This window comes from Homo sapiens, chromosome 6 (genome assembly GCF_000001405.40).
Source record: "Homo sapiens chromosome 6, GRCh38.p14 Primary Assembly".
Taxonomy (NCBI): domain Eukaryota; kingdom Metazoa; phylum Chordata; class Mammalia; order Primates; family Hominidae; genus Homo; species Homo sapiens.
This window is the reverse complement of record NC_000006.12, coordinates 164,481,414-164,500,152: the sequence shown is the minus strand read 5'-3', so window position 1 is coordinate 164,500,152 and position 18,739 is coordinate 164,481,414. Positions and strand designations below refer to the sequence as shown.

The following is an 18,739-nucleotide window of genomic DNA, read 5'->3' as shown; positions in this document are numbered from 1 at the left end:
TTCAGGAATACGTGAGCCATGTGGGGAGGGCATCACCTATTTCACAGCCAAAGGACCGAGGGAAATGGAATTACTACAGGAGTGTGACCAACACTGGAAGTGAATAGTAGGGAAGGGATGATTAATTAAGTAGTAACAGGTTTGAAATATCCCTCCCCAAGGTGAAGAACAAGAACATTTAGAACATTAGTGACACCCACAATCCTATCAGAAAACTTGAACAAGTATAACGGTGAGGATATAGTTAACCCTCTCCTACTTATATGATGCAAAGTGTTAGAGACTACAAAAGAAATTGTATTTGTGAATGAGGACATAGAGGGACATTTTTTTCAGCTGTGGATAGTCTTTTCTTATTTAGAGATGTTTACGCAACATCCTGCAGCTTTAATGATGCATCATAGACCAGTCTATCAAATTAGCTGAATTGTATGAGCAGAGGAATCAAAGGAGTAAATAACTGTGAAGTAGAAATTATTATGAAAAACAACTACAAAAATATGAACCCACAAACCTTGATCCAAACTCTTGTCCTAGTGTTCATGGCCATGCCCATCTCACATGGAGGATAAACCTACGTGCTCTGAATAGATTAAAGTCTCTGGAACTTTTGTAAGCCAGGATATTTCTATTTCAGTGACAATAGCTTTCAGCCAAGTCATGCATTAACCCACGATCATAAGCAGTGCAGCAATGATTAAATACAGTATTCAATCCCCTTAAAATGCTAAAGAGGGAGTCTGCAGAACAACATTAAACCTCAACTGGAAATTTGTTAAAGTACAGAGTAACATTGATAGGCCAAGACTTCCAGAAATTAAACCTATGATAAAGCTACAAAAATTAACCTCATTTCTACGGAGAAAAAATAGTTTATTGCATAACACAGAACACATAGACATAACAAAATGTAGAAATTCACATTATGAGAAAGTATTATTTTGTATGATTGAAGAAATTCTGTTATGTAAACTAATTGGTTTGAGAGAATTATTTGAAAATAATAAAGCTTAATCTCCAGTTTATTACTTAATAAAATAGAATTCCAGTTTGGTCAAAAGTTTAAATATAAAAAAACCACAACAGTTTAAGAAAAATGAATGTGTAATATTTTTTGCAATTTAAAAGTACAAAAGTATAAGAAAAAGTAAAAAGTTATAACTGAAAAATTGATATATTTCATTTTATAAATATTTATATTTAACAAATTAAAAAATATGATAATTTAAATGTTCAACAGTAAACTGAGAATACAGTTCACAGCCTCTGTAGCTAAATTTCTTAATTCATAAAAGTAGATATACATCATGATGAAGCAATCAATTACTCACTAAAAGAGCTAACTATATAAATAGACAATTTATAGAAACAACATGTCAAAACTAAATAAATGCTTAATCTCACTCAAAATAAAACAAATGCTACTCAAAACAATAATAATATTTAAGACTGGAAATACGTTGGTGTAAGTATGAAAGTTTCTGGGGCAATTTTGGTTGTATTCATAAAATTTTAAAAATGTATATAATTTTATCTTAGTGATTTTATTGCCAAGGAACTCTTCCTCAAGAGTCACACACATATATTTCAAGATATATGTAAACAAAAATTTCACTTATATTGAAAGAACAAAAAGTAGGCTAACTGAACAATTTGCCAATTTGAAAACTGACTAAACAATTTACTGTACATTCTTACAATTTCTAAAGAGTTTATTTCTGAAAATTATATAAATTAAATTTTGAAGCAGGTAAAGACAGTATAAAAACAAAAATTTATAAATCCATTTAACTGATGCATGCAGATATAATTGTCTGTTCAAATCTAACAGTGTATGAAACAAATAAATCATGAGGAAGTCATATTGATCCAGAAATGGAAGAATAATTCAGTAATAAATAATCTATCAATGCAATTTGCTGATTTAAATGGAAAAATCTTATAATTATATCAGTAGATTCAGAAAAAGCATTTGAAAATGTGCATTATTTATGATTTTAAAAATCTCACAGCAAATTAGGAATAAAAAAGAACTCTCTTAACAAAGTAAAAACTGTATATCAAAAATCTATCACAAATATTTACTTAATGGGGACAAACCAGGCATGTGTATTTTCACTGCAACTGTTCAACAGAGAATAGAATTCCTAGCCAATGTTGTAAGAAATAAAAAAAATACAGCAGTGCAATTATTTTAAGAGAAAAGGCAAACATCATTATTTGCAAATGACAGCCTCATCTACAAACCACAACAAATATAACCAACAGAAAAACTACAATAAGTAATGAGAGAGTTGAACAAATTTACTGCATAAATGAATAACTTACCAAAATAGTGCAATTTGTCTGTAGTAAAATAATAGGAAATGAAATATTTACAGTACAACCTACAATAAAATTTTTGATAATTATCAAATATACATAAAGGCATAAAAGATCTGAATACAGGACCCTAAAAGATCCAAATAAATTGAGATAACATATTATAAAAACATCAATTTCCTGAAAATTAACTTATGAATTCAGTGCTACCTTAATTAAAATTTTAGCTGGATCTTGAGAAGCTCAAGAATCTTCTTTTGAAATTCAGATAGGAAAATAAAGATCCAAAGACAGCTAAGAAAGTTGGAAAAGGTTTAAAATAGCAATAACAACTTTCATGAAAATCCCAATTTCATGAAGGCAGGGATTTTTTTCTGTTTTGCTTACTGCTAAATCTTCATTCTCTAGAATCATGCTTGACACATAAGACACAATAAATGCTTGTTGAATGCATGAAAACTGCAAACAGCATGCCACTGGCACAAACTTATCCTATGGAAATTACAGACCAGAAAGATACATGAGCTTAACGCAAGCAAATGATCATATGTATAATCCATCATATCAAAAGGGAGATACAGGGTGCAATGGATTCTCGTAGAAGGAATTAACCTGCCTATTACCCTAGGACTGGATTTGCGAACAGAGAATAGGAAATTGTGAATGACTCTTTCCACAATTTAGCATAGACAATGTTCTGGATGGGCATCATTGCATTGCACTTAGAGAGCAGTTAAGGGTAACAAAATGATACGCTTGGCTAAAGCACAAAACAGACCATTTCCATGATATATAGTCTTTAAAAAGTAAATGTTTGAGCAATATTCAGAGACATCTTAGATTTCTAGGATCCAAGATGCAGTGTGTAAGTAAATAATGATCTGGAGTAATGAATAAGCAGCTATTTCTTACTATCAAAATAGTAGTTGGAATACTATATGTGTAACTTTCATCAAATTTTGCTACTTTTCACATGTAAAATAATTACTAAAATAGTTTCAAATATTTCAAATATTGCTATAGAACATTTAGGTGACAAAATTCAGATTAATATCTCAAAACTGTTGGTCCAAACATAAAAATGCTATGTAGTTCAGCATCTTGGACTCGGTACAATTACATTGTGGGCGGGGGGGGGGTCTCCTTGCATCCACATATTTAGCCCAAGTTTTAAGTTGATTTTAGAGTGGATTTATGTTCTCCTTGCCCCAAGAATCAAGGCATTGTGAACAACACTTGGCATAATTCCACCCACCCGTCCTCAACAAGTGGAGACCTTAGGGCATTTCATTCATGATATTTCGAATGCTCCTCCACTGACGAGGACATTATATGCTTTCTCCTATCAAGCTTATAATAGAATTTCCCCCATTTTCTCATCTGCAAAATTAATTACACAATACTAGTTTTACCTGGAAAAGGAAAAGACTTCACATTTGGAGTGGAAGCCAAGCGCCTCAACGAAAAGATACAATGAATAGTCAGGCCAGCTTGCATTCACTATGCAATACGTAGAGGATATGGTTATGCTCATGCCGTTTCCTCACCTCCGTAGCTGGGATTTATGGCAGTTAAAGCATTATCTAAATGAGCAGATGAAAAAATAAAGTGAAAATCTCTTACATGACTAACTGTAAAATATCATAAAACAAATAAATTAATTCAATTGCATGCTCCAAATGACATTTTCAGAGCATTGCTTTTGGTTAATGTCTTTGTGAAAGAAGAATTGCTAGGCTCCATAGAAAGGAGTGCATTTTGAAAACTGTTTCTTGATAATTGTCACTGATACGTTTCCAATTTACAAAATGCTCTGCCTAGAAATGAAGAGTGCCCTTTGCTGTTCTGTGGGTGGCAAAAAATGTTTTATTGGGGCTATATTTTCTGAAATGGTGAAAGTTTATCTGCGCCATTTCTAACTGCAGGGGATTCAGAATGAGTGAAATAGGTAGGAAATGGGCAAATATTCATGGGTAATGTCAAGAATGTTCAAGTTTTCTGATCTCATGGAATAATCTAATGTTTCCTATCAGGAGAAGATGAATTAGCAGCGTTTTATGCCAGCTATAGGATAAGAGGAGCACGCTATCAGATGAGAGGTGCTTTCTAGGGTTATGAACCTCACAATTGACAGATTTTATCAAAAAAACCTTCCCTCATGCTTTCAAGATGGTGTATTTAAAGAACAGTAATGGGAGGAGAAATGTTTAGGTCAACGGACTGCAGCATAACGAGGGCTTTTGCCCACTCTCTGGGATATAAACATCTGTCATCTGAGACTATAAAAAATGGAATCCAGGTTTAAGAAAGCTTAACTCACATGCACTGTGTTCTGAGAGGCTCCTCATCCTCCTCCCCCAGCCCCGCAGGGATACACTGCATGGGAGTTAATCTTTCTTAAACCTGGATTCCCTTTTATATAGTCTCAGATGACGGAATATCCTGTGTTTTCGGAGATCCTGACTAGAGAAGCTTGGAGAAACCTGAGGCCCAGCTCTCTCCGACTTGACTTAGATAGCCTGGGCACAGGACCTGCCATGTCTGCGACGTTAAGGTCATGAATGGGCAGGGCTACTGTTGCTGCTTTCTTCTCTCTAAGATCTTCTAGGAAAGCCTGTCTACTTAGAGCATTAGCAGACTGCAAAAAGAAAGGAAAGTGTGCCAAAATACTCACTCATTATTTCAACATATATTTATCGAGCAGCTAGTCTGTATATTTAGAGAAAAATAGTCAGACCAGATTGTCATTTACCACTGCTCAGGATTTTGTGAATATAATGGTGAGCGAAGCAGGGGAAAGGCCTGCTCTCTGAACCTGTCTTTGAGTGACAAATGTCAGAAAATCAGTAATGGATACTAATGAACAAAAGATAAATCCAGGCGGTGATAACTACTATTGTGACATTTTGAGTAATCTTGATATAAGTAGGATCCTGGAGGAAGTGGATGGATCAAGACAATCTGGGTTATTCAGGGAAGGATTCTCTGAGGAGGTGATGGTGCCCTAAGACCCCAGTGGTGAGAGTGAGCAGACAGGTGTAGATGAGGGGTGCACTCCAGGGAAAGAGACGGGGAGCAAAGGCATTGAGGCAGAGTGAGGTGGACTTGCCTGAGAGACAGGAAGGCCAGGTGACTGTGGGCAGTGAATTAGGGAAAAGAGTGGGATGAGCTGCCATGGTCTGCAGGTACATAATCCAAGGCTAGCAGGACGAGGCAAGGGGTGTGCTTTATTTTCAAAGGACAACAGGGATGCTGGAGGGTTCCCAATAGAGGAGCAAAATGATCTGATAAAGATATTGAAAATCACTCTGGCTATGGTGGAAAACGGATTCTAACATGGGGAAGAAAAGAACCAGAGAGAAAGAACAGCTAATGGCTGCATTCAATTTTCATCGCAGCTACCACAAGCTACTACAAATTTAACACAACACACGTGCATTATCTTACAGTCCTGGAAGTCCAAAGTCCAAAATCAGTCCTACTGGGCTACAGTCAAGTTGTCGGCAGGAACATGTTCCTTCTGGAGGCTGCAGGGGAGAATCTGTGCCTAGGCTTTTCAGGATGGCTGTGGTCCTCACCTGGAGCGACCCTACATCACACATCCCCCACCTTTCCCTCTGCTTCCCTCGTTCCTTCTTCTCACTCCGATGTCCTACCGACCTCTCATAAGGACCTTTGTGAGGATGCTGGGCCCATGTGGATTACCCAGGACACTCTCCCCATCTCAAGAGGCTGATTTAGTCACAGCTGCAAAGTCCCTCTTTCCATATAAAGTAACATTCACAGGTTTTGGGGATTAGAAAGTGGAGACCCTTGAGGGTCCTTATTCTGCCGACTACAGAATGCTGAAAGCATGGCTTCTTGTAAGGATCTTCGTGAGCAGAACCAGGGTGGTCTAGGGTGGTCACAGCCAAAATCAAATGAATACAAAGATTTGGGACACATTTTTTCCAACCTGACAGGAGTTCCTGATTGGCTATGAAGGGGTGAAGAAAAACAAGAAATAAAAGATAATTCACACCAGAGGTTTTCAAACTGTATCCCAGGCTCTATGGCCAACAAGGTCAAAATAACTTCCATTATAATTCCTGTGGGGTGGTTCATCTTTTCACTCTCATTTCCTCACGAGCTTGCAGCAGGCTCTCCATGAACTTGGTGCCTTGAAACGGCACCTGCACCATGATGGCTAGTGTGTGTTGGTGCTTTCAAAGCTCTCTGTTTAAAATTCCAACATGGTAAGTAGCTGGAGATAGAATTTATCCACAGACACTCTTTGAAATCCTCAACTTTTTAAAAGTATGAAGAGATCATCATAACAAAAAGTTTGAAAACTGCTGGCTTATATTTTGATTGAACACAGGAGTAACATTTATGAGATAGAAAAGATAAGGTGGGAAATGAAATTGTGGGAAAGTCAAGAGTTCCAAGAGTTCTGCCAAATATCATGAAGCAAAAACATTATGTAATATATTCTGAATGGACCTTAGACAAGTTGTGTGTTGGATATTAGGTTTTACTGTCCTTATTAATGTAGCCAATACAAACCCATCTACCTGGATCAAAGATATAGTGGGTCCCAGCCAAAATATAGTCAGCACTGCTAAATATGTCAGACATATGCTGGTTTCTAGGGACAAAAAATGGGAATTAAGACAAGTCCATCATAATCCCTTTCCACATAAAACATATATCCCTCCAAGGTTGTATGTTTTAAGTGACCAGGGATTATCATGGTCTTATTGTCTTATTCATTTTCTGTCCCTAGAAAACAGCTATGAGCTGTGAGCTGAGGGAAGCAGTTAAGATCAAAGTCCCTTACAGGAACCCCAAATTCTACAGTATATCTGGAGAGATGAATGATGCCATGGAAGAGATATGATAGCAATACCCATATGAAAAAGACTTGGTGAACAAAGGTCAGGAGATTGGACTTCATTTCCAGATGGCGGGAAGCTAGAGTGTGCTCGGTAGACTAAGATGGATAATTGTCAAGTGGCTGAGTAAGTAAAGGAATTTGCTATCTGTGGATGAGACAACTTTAGGGACCTCTTAAGTGTTAGGAGTGGATCTTATTCATGTTTGAAGAAACAATAACACTGCACTGGTACACAGAATCCATTCACGATGTTCGTATATGTTTGTCTAAACTGAAGAAAGATGTAATTGGATTTCTAAAACATCTTAAATGTCGTTTTATTTTCTAGCTCACAAATGATTATTTTTCACCAGAGAAAAATAAATAAAATTCGTTCTAACCCAGCCCCAACTTCAACCCACTCATGCATCCAGATACAGGTTTCCTATTTACCCATAGCTATTCTCTTTTCATGATCACAATAAATAATCTGATCTCTATCTCTAACAGATATATAAATGAATGTAGGTACTTATAATAAATAAATGCCTTTATCAAGTTTCAGGGTTTCATTTTATTTTTAGAAACCAATTTTACAACGGAGTCATATCCCTGTGCAAGTGTGACTATGGTAGAAGCGATCCTCATTAATACAACAATACAGCAATGATTCTTGATTGGGGGCTGGGGGAAACCATTGTGTCTTAACCCCTCATGTATAATTACTGCATTTATAAAAGACAAAGCCTTTCTTGGAGCAGCCCTGGTAAGATGTCGTAGAAACTCACCCTTTCTTGTCAGGTCAGCCACAGCTTGCCCATTGCTCTGGCTAAAAATCCTGACTTCAGTGATTGCTGTGGTTCATGTGCACCTGGAGTTCTGAGTTAGGTCCAGAAGTCACCTGAAAAATCACACCCCAGGCATGCTGATTTCTAATCTAAGCAATGTAAATCGGTGGAATTTGTAGTAAAGGTGATCTTTGGTTGAAATATCAAGTTACTGTAGGGCAATGGGAAAGTAAAGTTTCAGATTTAAATTTCTTTGGATAGTTTCAAAGGACATTGTTACTGATTGAAATTAGAGGTGGATAAATTAATTCACACAGTCATGCACTCATTCAACAAATACTTATCAAGATTCTACTATGTGTAAAAAATTATACTAGCAACAGGGAATCAGATAATCAACAAGACAGGCAAGGGAGTTATTGTTAAAGAATAAGGGAAATATAAATCAGTAATTGTGCAATTATTTAATTGCATATGTGACTGGCGCTGCTATGGAGAAATAAGGACACCATCAGAAAGGGAAACAGTGGAACCTGGTCCTACAGACCTCCCATTTTGAGGGGTCTAGCAGGAACTTTATCTCTATAAAATCTCTAAGCCTCTGAAAAAGCAACCTGCAGATGTAGCTGGCTCAGCAGATGTCCTCCTGGCAAAGAGTTTCAGTGTCACCTAGCTCCATGGGCCCAAATCTTCATTTGCATTTTGGTATTATGACTTCTTATTTTTTGCCAGATTTTGTTCTATTTGAAAGGTATTTAAAAACATTTATCAGTAAGTTTAGGGAGATCTGGCAAGATGGCCAAATAGAAACAGCTCCAGTCTGCAGCTCCCAGCAAGACCAATGTAGAAGGCAGGTGATTTCTGCATTTCCTACTGAGGTACTTGGTTCATCTCACTGGGACTGGTTAGACAGTGGGTGCAGCCCACAGAGGCCAGGCAGCAGCAGGGTGGGGCATTGCCTCACCCAGGAAGCACAAGGGGCTGGGACCTCCCTCCTCTAGCCAAGGGAAGCCATGAGGGACTGTGCTATCTGGCCCAGATGCTATGCTTTGCCCATGGATTTTGCAACCTGCAAACAGGAGATTTCCTCATGTGCCTAAACCACCAGAGCCCTAGGTTTCAAGCACAAAACTGAGCAGCTGTTTGTGCAGACACCGAGCTAGCTGCAGGAGTTTTTTTTTTCATGCCCTAATGGCGCCTGGAACACCAGGGAGACAGAATCATTTACTCCCTTGGAAAGGGGGCTGAAGCCAGGGAACCAAATGGTCTTCCTCACTGAGTCCAACCCCCCTAGAGCCCAGCAAGCTAAGCTCCCCTGTCTTGAAGTTCTCACTGCCAGCACAGCAGTCTGAAGTTGAGCTGGGATGCTCGAGCTTGGTGGGGTAAGGGGCATCCACCATTACTGAGTCTTAGGTGGTATTCCCCTCACAGTGTAAATGAAGCCGCCGGGAAGTTTGGACATTGTGGAATCCACCACAGCACACAAAAGCTGCTATGGCCAGACTGCCTCTCTAGATTCCTCCTAATTGGGCAGGGCATCTCTGAAAGAAAGGCAGCAGCCCCAGTCAGGGGCTTATAGATAAAACTCCCATCTCCCTGGGACAGAGCACCTCAGGGAAGTGTGGCTGTGGGCACAGCTTCATCTGACTTAAATGTTCCTGCCTGCTGGCTCTGAAGAGAGCAGCAGATCTCCCAGCACAGTGCTTGAGCTCTGCTAAGGGGCAGACTGCCTCCTCAAGTGGGTGCCTGACCCCCATGCCTCCTGACTAGGAGACATGTCTGATCAGGAGGTGACAGACACCTCATACAGGAGAGCTCTGGCTGGAATCTGGGGTGGGTGCTTCTCTGGGAAGAAGCTTCTGGAGGAAGAAGCAAGCAGCAATCTTTGCTGTTCTGCAGCCTTCCCTCATGATACCCAAGCAAACACGGTTTGGAGTGGACCTCTGCAAACTCCAGCAGACCTGCAGAAGAGGGGCCTGACTGTTAGAAGGAAAACTAACAAACAGAAAGCAATAACATCAACATCAACAAAAGGATGCACACGCAAAAACTCCTTCCAAAGGTCATCAGCATCAAAGATCAAAGGTAGATAAATTCAGGAAAATGAGAAAAAAACAGCATAAAAATGCTGAAAATTCCAAAAGCCAGAATGCCTCTTCTCCGCCAAAGGATCACAACTCCTCACCAGCAAGGGCACAAAACTGGATGGAGAATGAGTTTGACAAATTGACAGAAGTAGGCTTCAGAAGGTGGGTAATAACAAACTCCTCTGAGCTAAAGGAGCATGTTCTAACCCAATGCAAGGAAGCTAAGAACCTTGATAAAAAGTTACAGGAACTGCTAATGAGAATAACCAGTTTAGAGAAGAAGATAAATCACCTGATGGAGCTGAAAAACACAGCATGAGAACTTCATGAGGCATACACAAGTATCAATAGCCAAATCGATCAAGCAGAAGAAAGGATATCAGAGAGTGAAGATCAACTTAATAAAATAAAGCATGAAGACAAGATTAGAGAAAAAAGAATGAAAACGAATGAATAAATCCTCCAAGAAATATGGGACTATATGAAAAGAGCAAACCTACAATAAATTGATGTACCTGAAAGTGATGGGGAGAAAGGAACCAAGTTGGAAAACATACTTCAGGATATGATCCAGGAGAACTTCTCCAACCTAGCAAGACAAGCCAACATTCATTTTCAGGAAATACAGAGAACACCACTGAGATACTCCTCAAGAAGAGCAACCACAAGACACATAATTGTCAGATTCCCAAGGTTTAAATGAAGGAAAAAATGTTAAAGGCAGCCAGAGAGAAAGGTCAGGTTACCTACAAAGCGAAGCCCATCAGACTAACAGCAGGTGTCTCTGCAAAAACCCTACAAGCCAGAAAAGGGAGTGGGGGCCAATATTCAACATTCTTAAAGAAAAGAATTTTTGACTCAGAATTTCATATCTAGCCAAACTAAGCTTCATAAGCAAAGAAGAAAAAAAATCTTTTTCAGACGAGCAAATGCTAAGGGATTTTGTCACCACCAGGCCTCCCTTACAAGAGCTCCTGAAGGAAGCCCTAAACACGAAAAGGAAAAACCGGTATCAGAAACTGCAAAAACATAGCAAAATATAAAGACCAATGACACTATGAAGAAACTGCATCAACTAATGTGCAAAATAACCAGCTAGAATCATAATGACAGGATGAAATTCACACATAACAATATTAACTTTAAATGTAAATGGGCTAAACGCCCTAATTGAAAGACACAGGTTGGCAAATTGGATAAAGTGTCAAGACCCATTGGTGTGCTGTATTCAGGAGACCCATCTCATGTGCAGACACACATAGGCTCAAAATAAAAGCAAGAAGGAATATTTACCAAGCAAATGAAAAGCAAAAAAACAAAAAAACAGCAGGGGTTGCAATCCTAGTCTCTGATAAAACAGACTGTAAACCAACAAAGATCAAAAGAGACAAAGAATGGCATTACATAATGATAAAGGGATTAATGCAACAAGAAGAGCTAAATATCCTAAATATACGTGCACCCAATACAGAAGCACCCAAGTCATAAAGCAAGTTCTTAGAGATCTAAAAAACACTTAGACTCCCACACAATAATAGTGGGAGACTTTAACAACCCACTGTCAATATTAGACAGATCAATGAGGTAGAAAATTAATGAGGATATTCAGGATTTGAACTCACCTCTGAACCAAGTGGACCTAATAGACATCTACAGAACCCTCCACCCCAAATCAACAGAATATACATTCTACTCAGCACCATATCACACTTATTCTAAAATTGAACACATAATTGGAAGTAAAACACTCCTTAGGAAATGCAAAAGAATGGAAATCATAACAGTCTCTCAGACCACAGTGCAATCAAATTAGAACTCAGGGTTAAGAAACGCACTTAAATTAGCACAACTACATGGAAATTGAACAACTTGCTCCTGAGTGACTACTGGGTAAATAACAAAATTAAGGCAGAAATAAATAAGTTCTTTGAAACCAATGAGAACAAAGACACAACATACCAGAATCTCTGGGATACAGATAAAGCTGCGTTTAGAGGGAAATTTATAGCACTAAGTGCCCACATCAGAAAGTGGGAAAGATCTAAAATTGACACCCTAATATCACTATGAAAATAACTAGAGAAGCAAGGACAAACAAATTCAAAAGCTAGCAGAAGACAACAAATAACTAAGATCAGAACAGAACTGAAGGAGATAAAGACATGAAAAATCTTTCAAAAAATCAATGAATCCAGGATCAGGTTTTTGAAAAGATTTACAAAATACATAGACTGCCAGCCAGACTAACAAAGAAGAAAAGAAAGAAGAATCAAATAGACACAATAAAACATGATAAAGGGGATATCCACTGATTCCAGAGAAATACAAACTACCATTAGAGAATACTATAAATAACTCTATGCAAATAATAAACTAGAAAATCTAGAAGAAATGGATAAAGTCCTGGACACATATACCCTCCCAAGACTAGACAAGGAAGAAGCCGAATCCCTGAAAAGACCAAAGACAAGTTCTGAAATTGAGACAGTAATTAGGAGCCTACCAACCAGAAAAAGCCCAGGACCAGATGGATTCATAGTCGAATTCTACCAGAGGTACAAAGAGGAGCAGGTACCGTTCCTTTTGAAACTATTCCAAACAACAGAAGAAGAGGGATTCCTCTCTAACTCGGTTTATGAGGCCAGCATCATCCTGATATCAAAACCTGGCAGAGACACAACAGAAAAAGAAAATTTCAGGCCAATTTCCCTGATGAACATTGATATGAAAATCTTCAATAAAATACTGGCAAACCAAATCCAGCAGCATATCAAATAATTTATCCACCATGATCAAGTTGGCTTCATCCCTGGGATGCAAGGCTGGTTCAACATACACAAATCAATAAATGTAATCCATCCCATATACAGAACCAATGACAAAAACCACATAATTATTTCAATAGATGCAGAAAAGGCCTTCAATAAAACTCAACACCCCTTCATGCTAAAAAAACACTCAATAAACTAGGTATTAATGGAACATATCTCAAAATAATGAGAGCTGTTTATGACAAACCTGTAGCCAATATCATACTGAATGGGAAAAAGCTGGAAGCATTCCCTTTGGAAACCAGTATAAGACAAGGATGACCTCTCTCACCACTCCTATTCAACATAGTACTGGAAGTTCTCACCAGGGCAATCAAGCAAGAGAAAGAAAGGGTATTCAAACAGGAAGAGAGAAGAAGTCAAATTGTCTCTCTTTGCAGATGACATGATTGTATATTTAGAAAATCCCATCATCTCAGCCCAAAACCTCCTTAAGGTGATAAGCAACTTCAGCAAAGTCTCAGGATACAAAATCAATGTGCAAAAATTGCAAGCATTCCTTTACACCAATAATAGACAAACACAAAGCCAAAACATGAGTGAACTCCCATTCACAATTGCTACAAAGAGAATAAAATACCTAGGAATACAACTTACAAGAGACATGAAGGAGCTCTTCAAGTAGAACTACAAACCACTGCTCAAGGAAATAAGAGAGGACACAAGCAAATGGAAAAACATTCCATCCTCATGGATAGAAAGAGTCAATATTGTGAAAACGGCCATACTGTCCTAAGTAATTTAAAGATTCAATGCTATTCCCATCAAGCTGCCACTGACTTTCTTCATAGAATTAGAACAAACTACTTTAAATTTCATATGAAACCAAAAAAGAGCCCCTATAGCCAAGACAATCCTAAGCAAAAATAACAAAACTGAAGGCATCATGCTACCTGACTTCAAACTATATTACAAGGCTACAGTAACCAAAAAAGCAGGGTAATGGTACCAAAACAGACATATACATCAATGGGACAGAACAGAGGCCTCGGCAATAACACCTACACACTATCACCTACATACCACACATATATAACGATCTGATTTTTGACAAACATGATGAAAACAACCAATGGGGAAAGGATTCCCTATTTAATAAATGCTGTTGGGAAAACTGGCTAGCCATATGCAGAAAACTGAAACTGGACCCCTTCCTTACACCTTATACAAAAATTAACTCAAGATGGATTAAAGACTTAAATGTTAGACCTAAAACCATAAAAACCCTAGAAGAAAATCTAGGCAATACCATTCAGGACATAGGCATGGGCAAATGACTAAAACACCAAAAGCAATGGCAAAAAAGCCAAAATTGACAAATGGGATCTAATTAAAAGAAAGAGTTTCTTCATAGCAAAAGAAACTATCATCAGAGTGAACAGGCAACCTACAGAATGGAAGAAAATGTTTGATATCTATCCATCTGACAAAGGGTTAATATCCAGAGTCTACAAGGAACTTAAACAAATTTACAAGAAAAAAACAAACCCCATCAAAAGGTGGGAGAAGGGTATGAACAGACACTTCTCAAAAGAAGACATTTATGCAGCCAACAAACATATGAAAAAAAGCTCATCATCACTGCTCATTAGAGAAATGCAAATCAAAACCACAATGAGATATCTCACGTTAGTAAGAATGGCAATCATTAAAGAGTCAGGAAACAACAGATGCTGGAGAGGATCTGTTGGATCCCTCATGCCTTCTTTCTGTCCTCATAGTAGTGAGTGAGTTCTCATGAGAACTGGTTGCTTAAATATGTGGAACCTCCCCCACTGATATGATTTGACTCTGTGTCCCCACCCAGTCCTCATGTCAAATTGTAATTCCCAGTGTTGGAGTAGAGGCCTGGTGAGAAGTGATTAAACAATGGGGGCAGACATCCCCCTTGCTGTTCTTGTGATAGAGTTTTCATGAGATCTGGTTGTTTGAAAGCATATAACGGGTCCCCATTCAAGCTCTCTCTCTTTCCTCTCTCTCTCTCCTGCCATCATGTGAAGATGTGTTTGCTTCTCCTTCACCCTTCTGCCATGATTGTAAGTTTCCTGAGACCTCCCATCCATACTTCCTGTACAGCCTGTGGAACTTTGAGTCCATTAAACATCTTTTCTTCATAAGTTACCCAGTCTCAGGTTGTTCTTTATAGCAGTGTAGAAATGGACTAATACACCCACTCTCTGTTGCTCCTATTCTGCCATGTGAGACACTTGCTCCCCCTTCACCTTCTCCCATGATTGAGAGCTCCCTGAGGTTTCACCAGAAGCCAAGCAGATACCAGCTCCATATTTTCTGTACAGCCTGCAGAACTGTGAGTCAATTAAGCCTCTTTTCTTTATAAATGATCTAGTCTCAGGCAGTTCTCTACAGCAACACAATAACAGGCTAGTAAAGACCACATCATGAGCCACTTTGTCAACCACATCCTAAGCATATTTGGACGACAGCAAAAGACAATCATGAATAATCCCTTTACATTCAGCCCCTTAAAATGGTCTTAAATGGTAAGAGACATGAATTAGATCGCTTCTGAAGTATTCACTTCAGGGATTTGTAATTATGGCATAGTTTAATACGGTGCAAACTTGCCCAGCTCACACTTTTAGAAAACATCCCTAAAAAGAATGATTATATGATTTTTGATGTCATCTTGAATTGTAGCACTTATAATTCCCATGTGTTGTGGAACGGACATGGTAGAAAATAATCGAATCATGGGGGCAGTTTCCCCCATACCGTTCTCATTGTAGTGAACAAATCTCATGAGATCTGATGGTTTTATAAGGGGTTTCCCCTTCCACTTGTCTGTTTTTTCTCTCTTGCCTGCCACCATGTAAGACATGACTTTGCTCCCCCTTTGCCTTCTGCCGTAATTGTGAGGCCTCCCCAGCCATGTGGAACTGTGAGTCCACTAAACATCTTTTCTTTATAAATTACCCAGTCTCAGTCTTTATTAGTAGTGACAGAACAGACTAATACAGTAAATTGGTACTGGTTAAGTAGGGTGCTGCTGTAAAGATACCCAAAAATGTGGAAGCAACTTCAGAACTGGATAAAAGGCAGAGATTGGAACAATTTGGAAGGCTCAGAAGAAGATAGATAAATGTGGGGAAGTTTTAAACTTCCTAGAGACTTGGAGGGCTCAGGAGATAGGAAAATGTGGGAAAGTTTGGAACTTCCTAGAGACTTGTTGAATGGCTTTGACCAAAATGCTCATAGTGAGATAGACAATAAGGTCTAGGCTGAGGTGGTCTCAGATGGAGATGAGGAACTTGTTGAGGACTGGAGTAAAGGTCACTCTTGCTATACAAGGAGACTGGCAGCATTTTTCCCCTGCCTTAGCGATCTGTGGAACTCTGAACTTGACAAAGTTGATTTAGGGTATCGGGTGAAAGAAATTTCTAAGCAGCAAAGTGTTCAAGAGAAAACAGAGCATAAAAATGTGAAAAATTTGCAGCCTGACCATGCAATAGAAAAGAAAAACTCATTTTTCTGGGGAGAAATTCAAGCCTGCTGCAAAAAATTGCACAATGTTAATCACCAAGACAATGGGGAAATATCTCCAGGGCATGTCAGAAACTTTTTTGGCAGATCCAGAGGACTAGGAGGAAATAATAGTTTTGTGGGCTGGACCCAAGGCTCCCTTGTGGTGTGCAATCTAGGGACTTGGTACCCTGCATCCCAGCTGATCCAGCTGTGGCTAAAAAGGGCCAAGGTGCAGCTCAGGCCATGGCTGCAAAGGATACAAGCCCCAAGCCTTGGCAGCTTCCACATGGTGTTCAGCCTCTGTGTACACAGAAGTCAATAATTGACTTGTAGATGTCAATTCTTGAAGGTGTCAAATCCCCACCTAGATTTCAGAGGATGTATGGAAACACCTGCATGTCCAGGCAGAAGTTTGATGCAGGGGTGGAGCCCTCATGGAGAGCATCTACTAGGATAGTGTAAGAGGGAAATGTGGAGTTGGAGCTCCCACACAGGGTCCCCACTGGGGCACTGCCTAGTGGAGCTGTGAGAAGAGGGCCAGCATCCTCCAGAGCCCAGAATGGTAGATCCACTGACAGCTTGCATTGTGCACCTGGAAAAGCTGCAGACACTGAATGCCAGCCCATGAAGGGAGCCAAGAGGGGTGCTGTACTCTGCAAAGCCATGGGATGGAGCTCCACAAGACCATGGGAACCCCCCTATTGCAACGGTGTGACCTAGATGTGAGACACAGAGTCAAAGGAGATCATCTTGGAGCTTTAAGATTTGACTGCCCCATTGGGTTCTGGACTTGCATGGGGCCTGTATTCCCTTTGTTTTGTCCAATTTCTCCCATTCGGAATGGCTGTATTCACCCAATGCCTGTACCCCCATTGTATCTAGGAAGTAACTAACTTGCTTTTGATTTTAAAGGCTCAAATGCAGAAGGGACTTGCCGTGTCTCAGGTGAGATTTTGGAATATGAACTTTTGAGTTAATGCTGAAATTAGTTAAGACTTTGGGGAACTGTTGGGAAGACATGATTGGTTTTGAAACGGGAGGACATGAGATTTGGGAGGGGCCGGGGCAGAATGATATTGTTTGGCTTTGTGTCCCCACCCAAATCTCATCTTGAATTGTAGTTCCCATAATTCCCATGTGTCATGAGAGGGAACAGATGGAGAGATAATTGAATCACGGGAGTGATTTTTTCCATACTGTTCTCATGGTAGGGAATAAGTCTCATGAGATTCAATGTTTTTTTAAGGGGTTTCCCTTTTCACTTGGTTCTTATTCTTTCTTATCTGCTGCAATGTAAGACATGTCTTTTGCCTTCCACTATGATTGTAAAGCCTCCCTAGCCATGTGGAACTGTGAGTCCACTAAACCTCTTTTTCTTTATAAATTACCCAGTCTTGGGTATGTCTTTATCAGCAGTGTGAAAATGGACTAATGTGATGATGCATATCTTAAATTGATAGTATATTAAATTTCTGGTTATATTCATGAAGAAGCATATTCAGTACCAAAATCTGCACCACACAGAGGGCAGAACCAAGGGAATGCTTGATTCAGTACCACACAGTAGCCAGAGATAAGCTGAGGGCCCAGAATCCCATTATTCAACTTCAGTAGAACTTTCAGGCTCCCCTTCCTATGTATGTCACATTTAATCTTCTCCTCAGTCAGGCCATTTTCTAATGTAGAAAACAGAAGGTCAGAATGTTTCTATTTGACATGAGACATTATATTACCCGAAGTTAGGTCTCTAGAATTGAAAAGTTAGAATGATAGTGTGTCAGAAGGCACATTATGTTTTTCTTTTTCAATTGAAAATTTACATTTTTTAAAATAAAATCTCAGAGTTGAGAAAAAAAAAAAAAGAACACCTCAGATGTTATCTAATGGTGAAACTTGTGGCTTACATCTTCTTTAGGAAAAGCCACTCAGCCCATGTGTAAGCCTCCAGACTGGAACATCAGTGTCTCTGGAGCAGTGTGCTGAATGCAATCATACTGTAGTGAGGACCTGCAGACTCATTTGGAAATGGGGGTGGGGGTGTCTGATAAGTCTTTTATTATGTTCTCAGTGTTACATGAAAAAATATCTTGATGAAGGTTAATCAAATATGGAGAAAATTTGCCTGTTTATTTTACATGAAGTAGGGAAAAACAGATGAAATGTGTTGTGTGGCCCCTGCCTGCCATGAATTTGAAATCCCCCCAGTAGATAACTTAGACGAACTGATTTGATTGATGAGACAGAATTATATAAATAAACATCACATACCATAGTCTGTACTGTTCATTAGCTAATGGAATAGCTCTCCCTAATCCCAACACCCTTCCTGCCACCAGCATTGAGGCTTAAAGTTATTCTTGCTTACCAACAACC

General features: G+C 39.1%; 1 long non-coding RNA gene across 2 annotated transcripts in view; it reads right to left on the bottom strand.

Moving 5' to 3' along the window:
* Nucleotides 1-18,739, bottom strand: part of LOC107986667 (uncharacterized) — a 90,129-nt gene that overhangs the window by 27,550 nt on the left and 43,840 nt on the right. The window contains exon 1 of one of the 2 annotated variants that reach the window (XR_001744458.2): nt 3,735-3,883. The exons of the other annotated variant lie outside the window; for it this stretch is intronic. This is a non-coding gene — a long non-coding RNA (uncharacterized LOC107986667). Of the gene's footprint in view, nt 1-3,734; nt 3,884-18,739 lie in introns of those variants that run through there. 2 annotated transcript variants of the gene reach the window in all.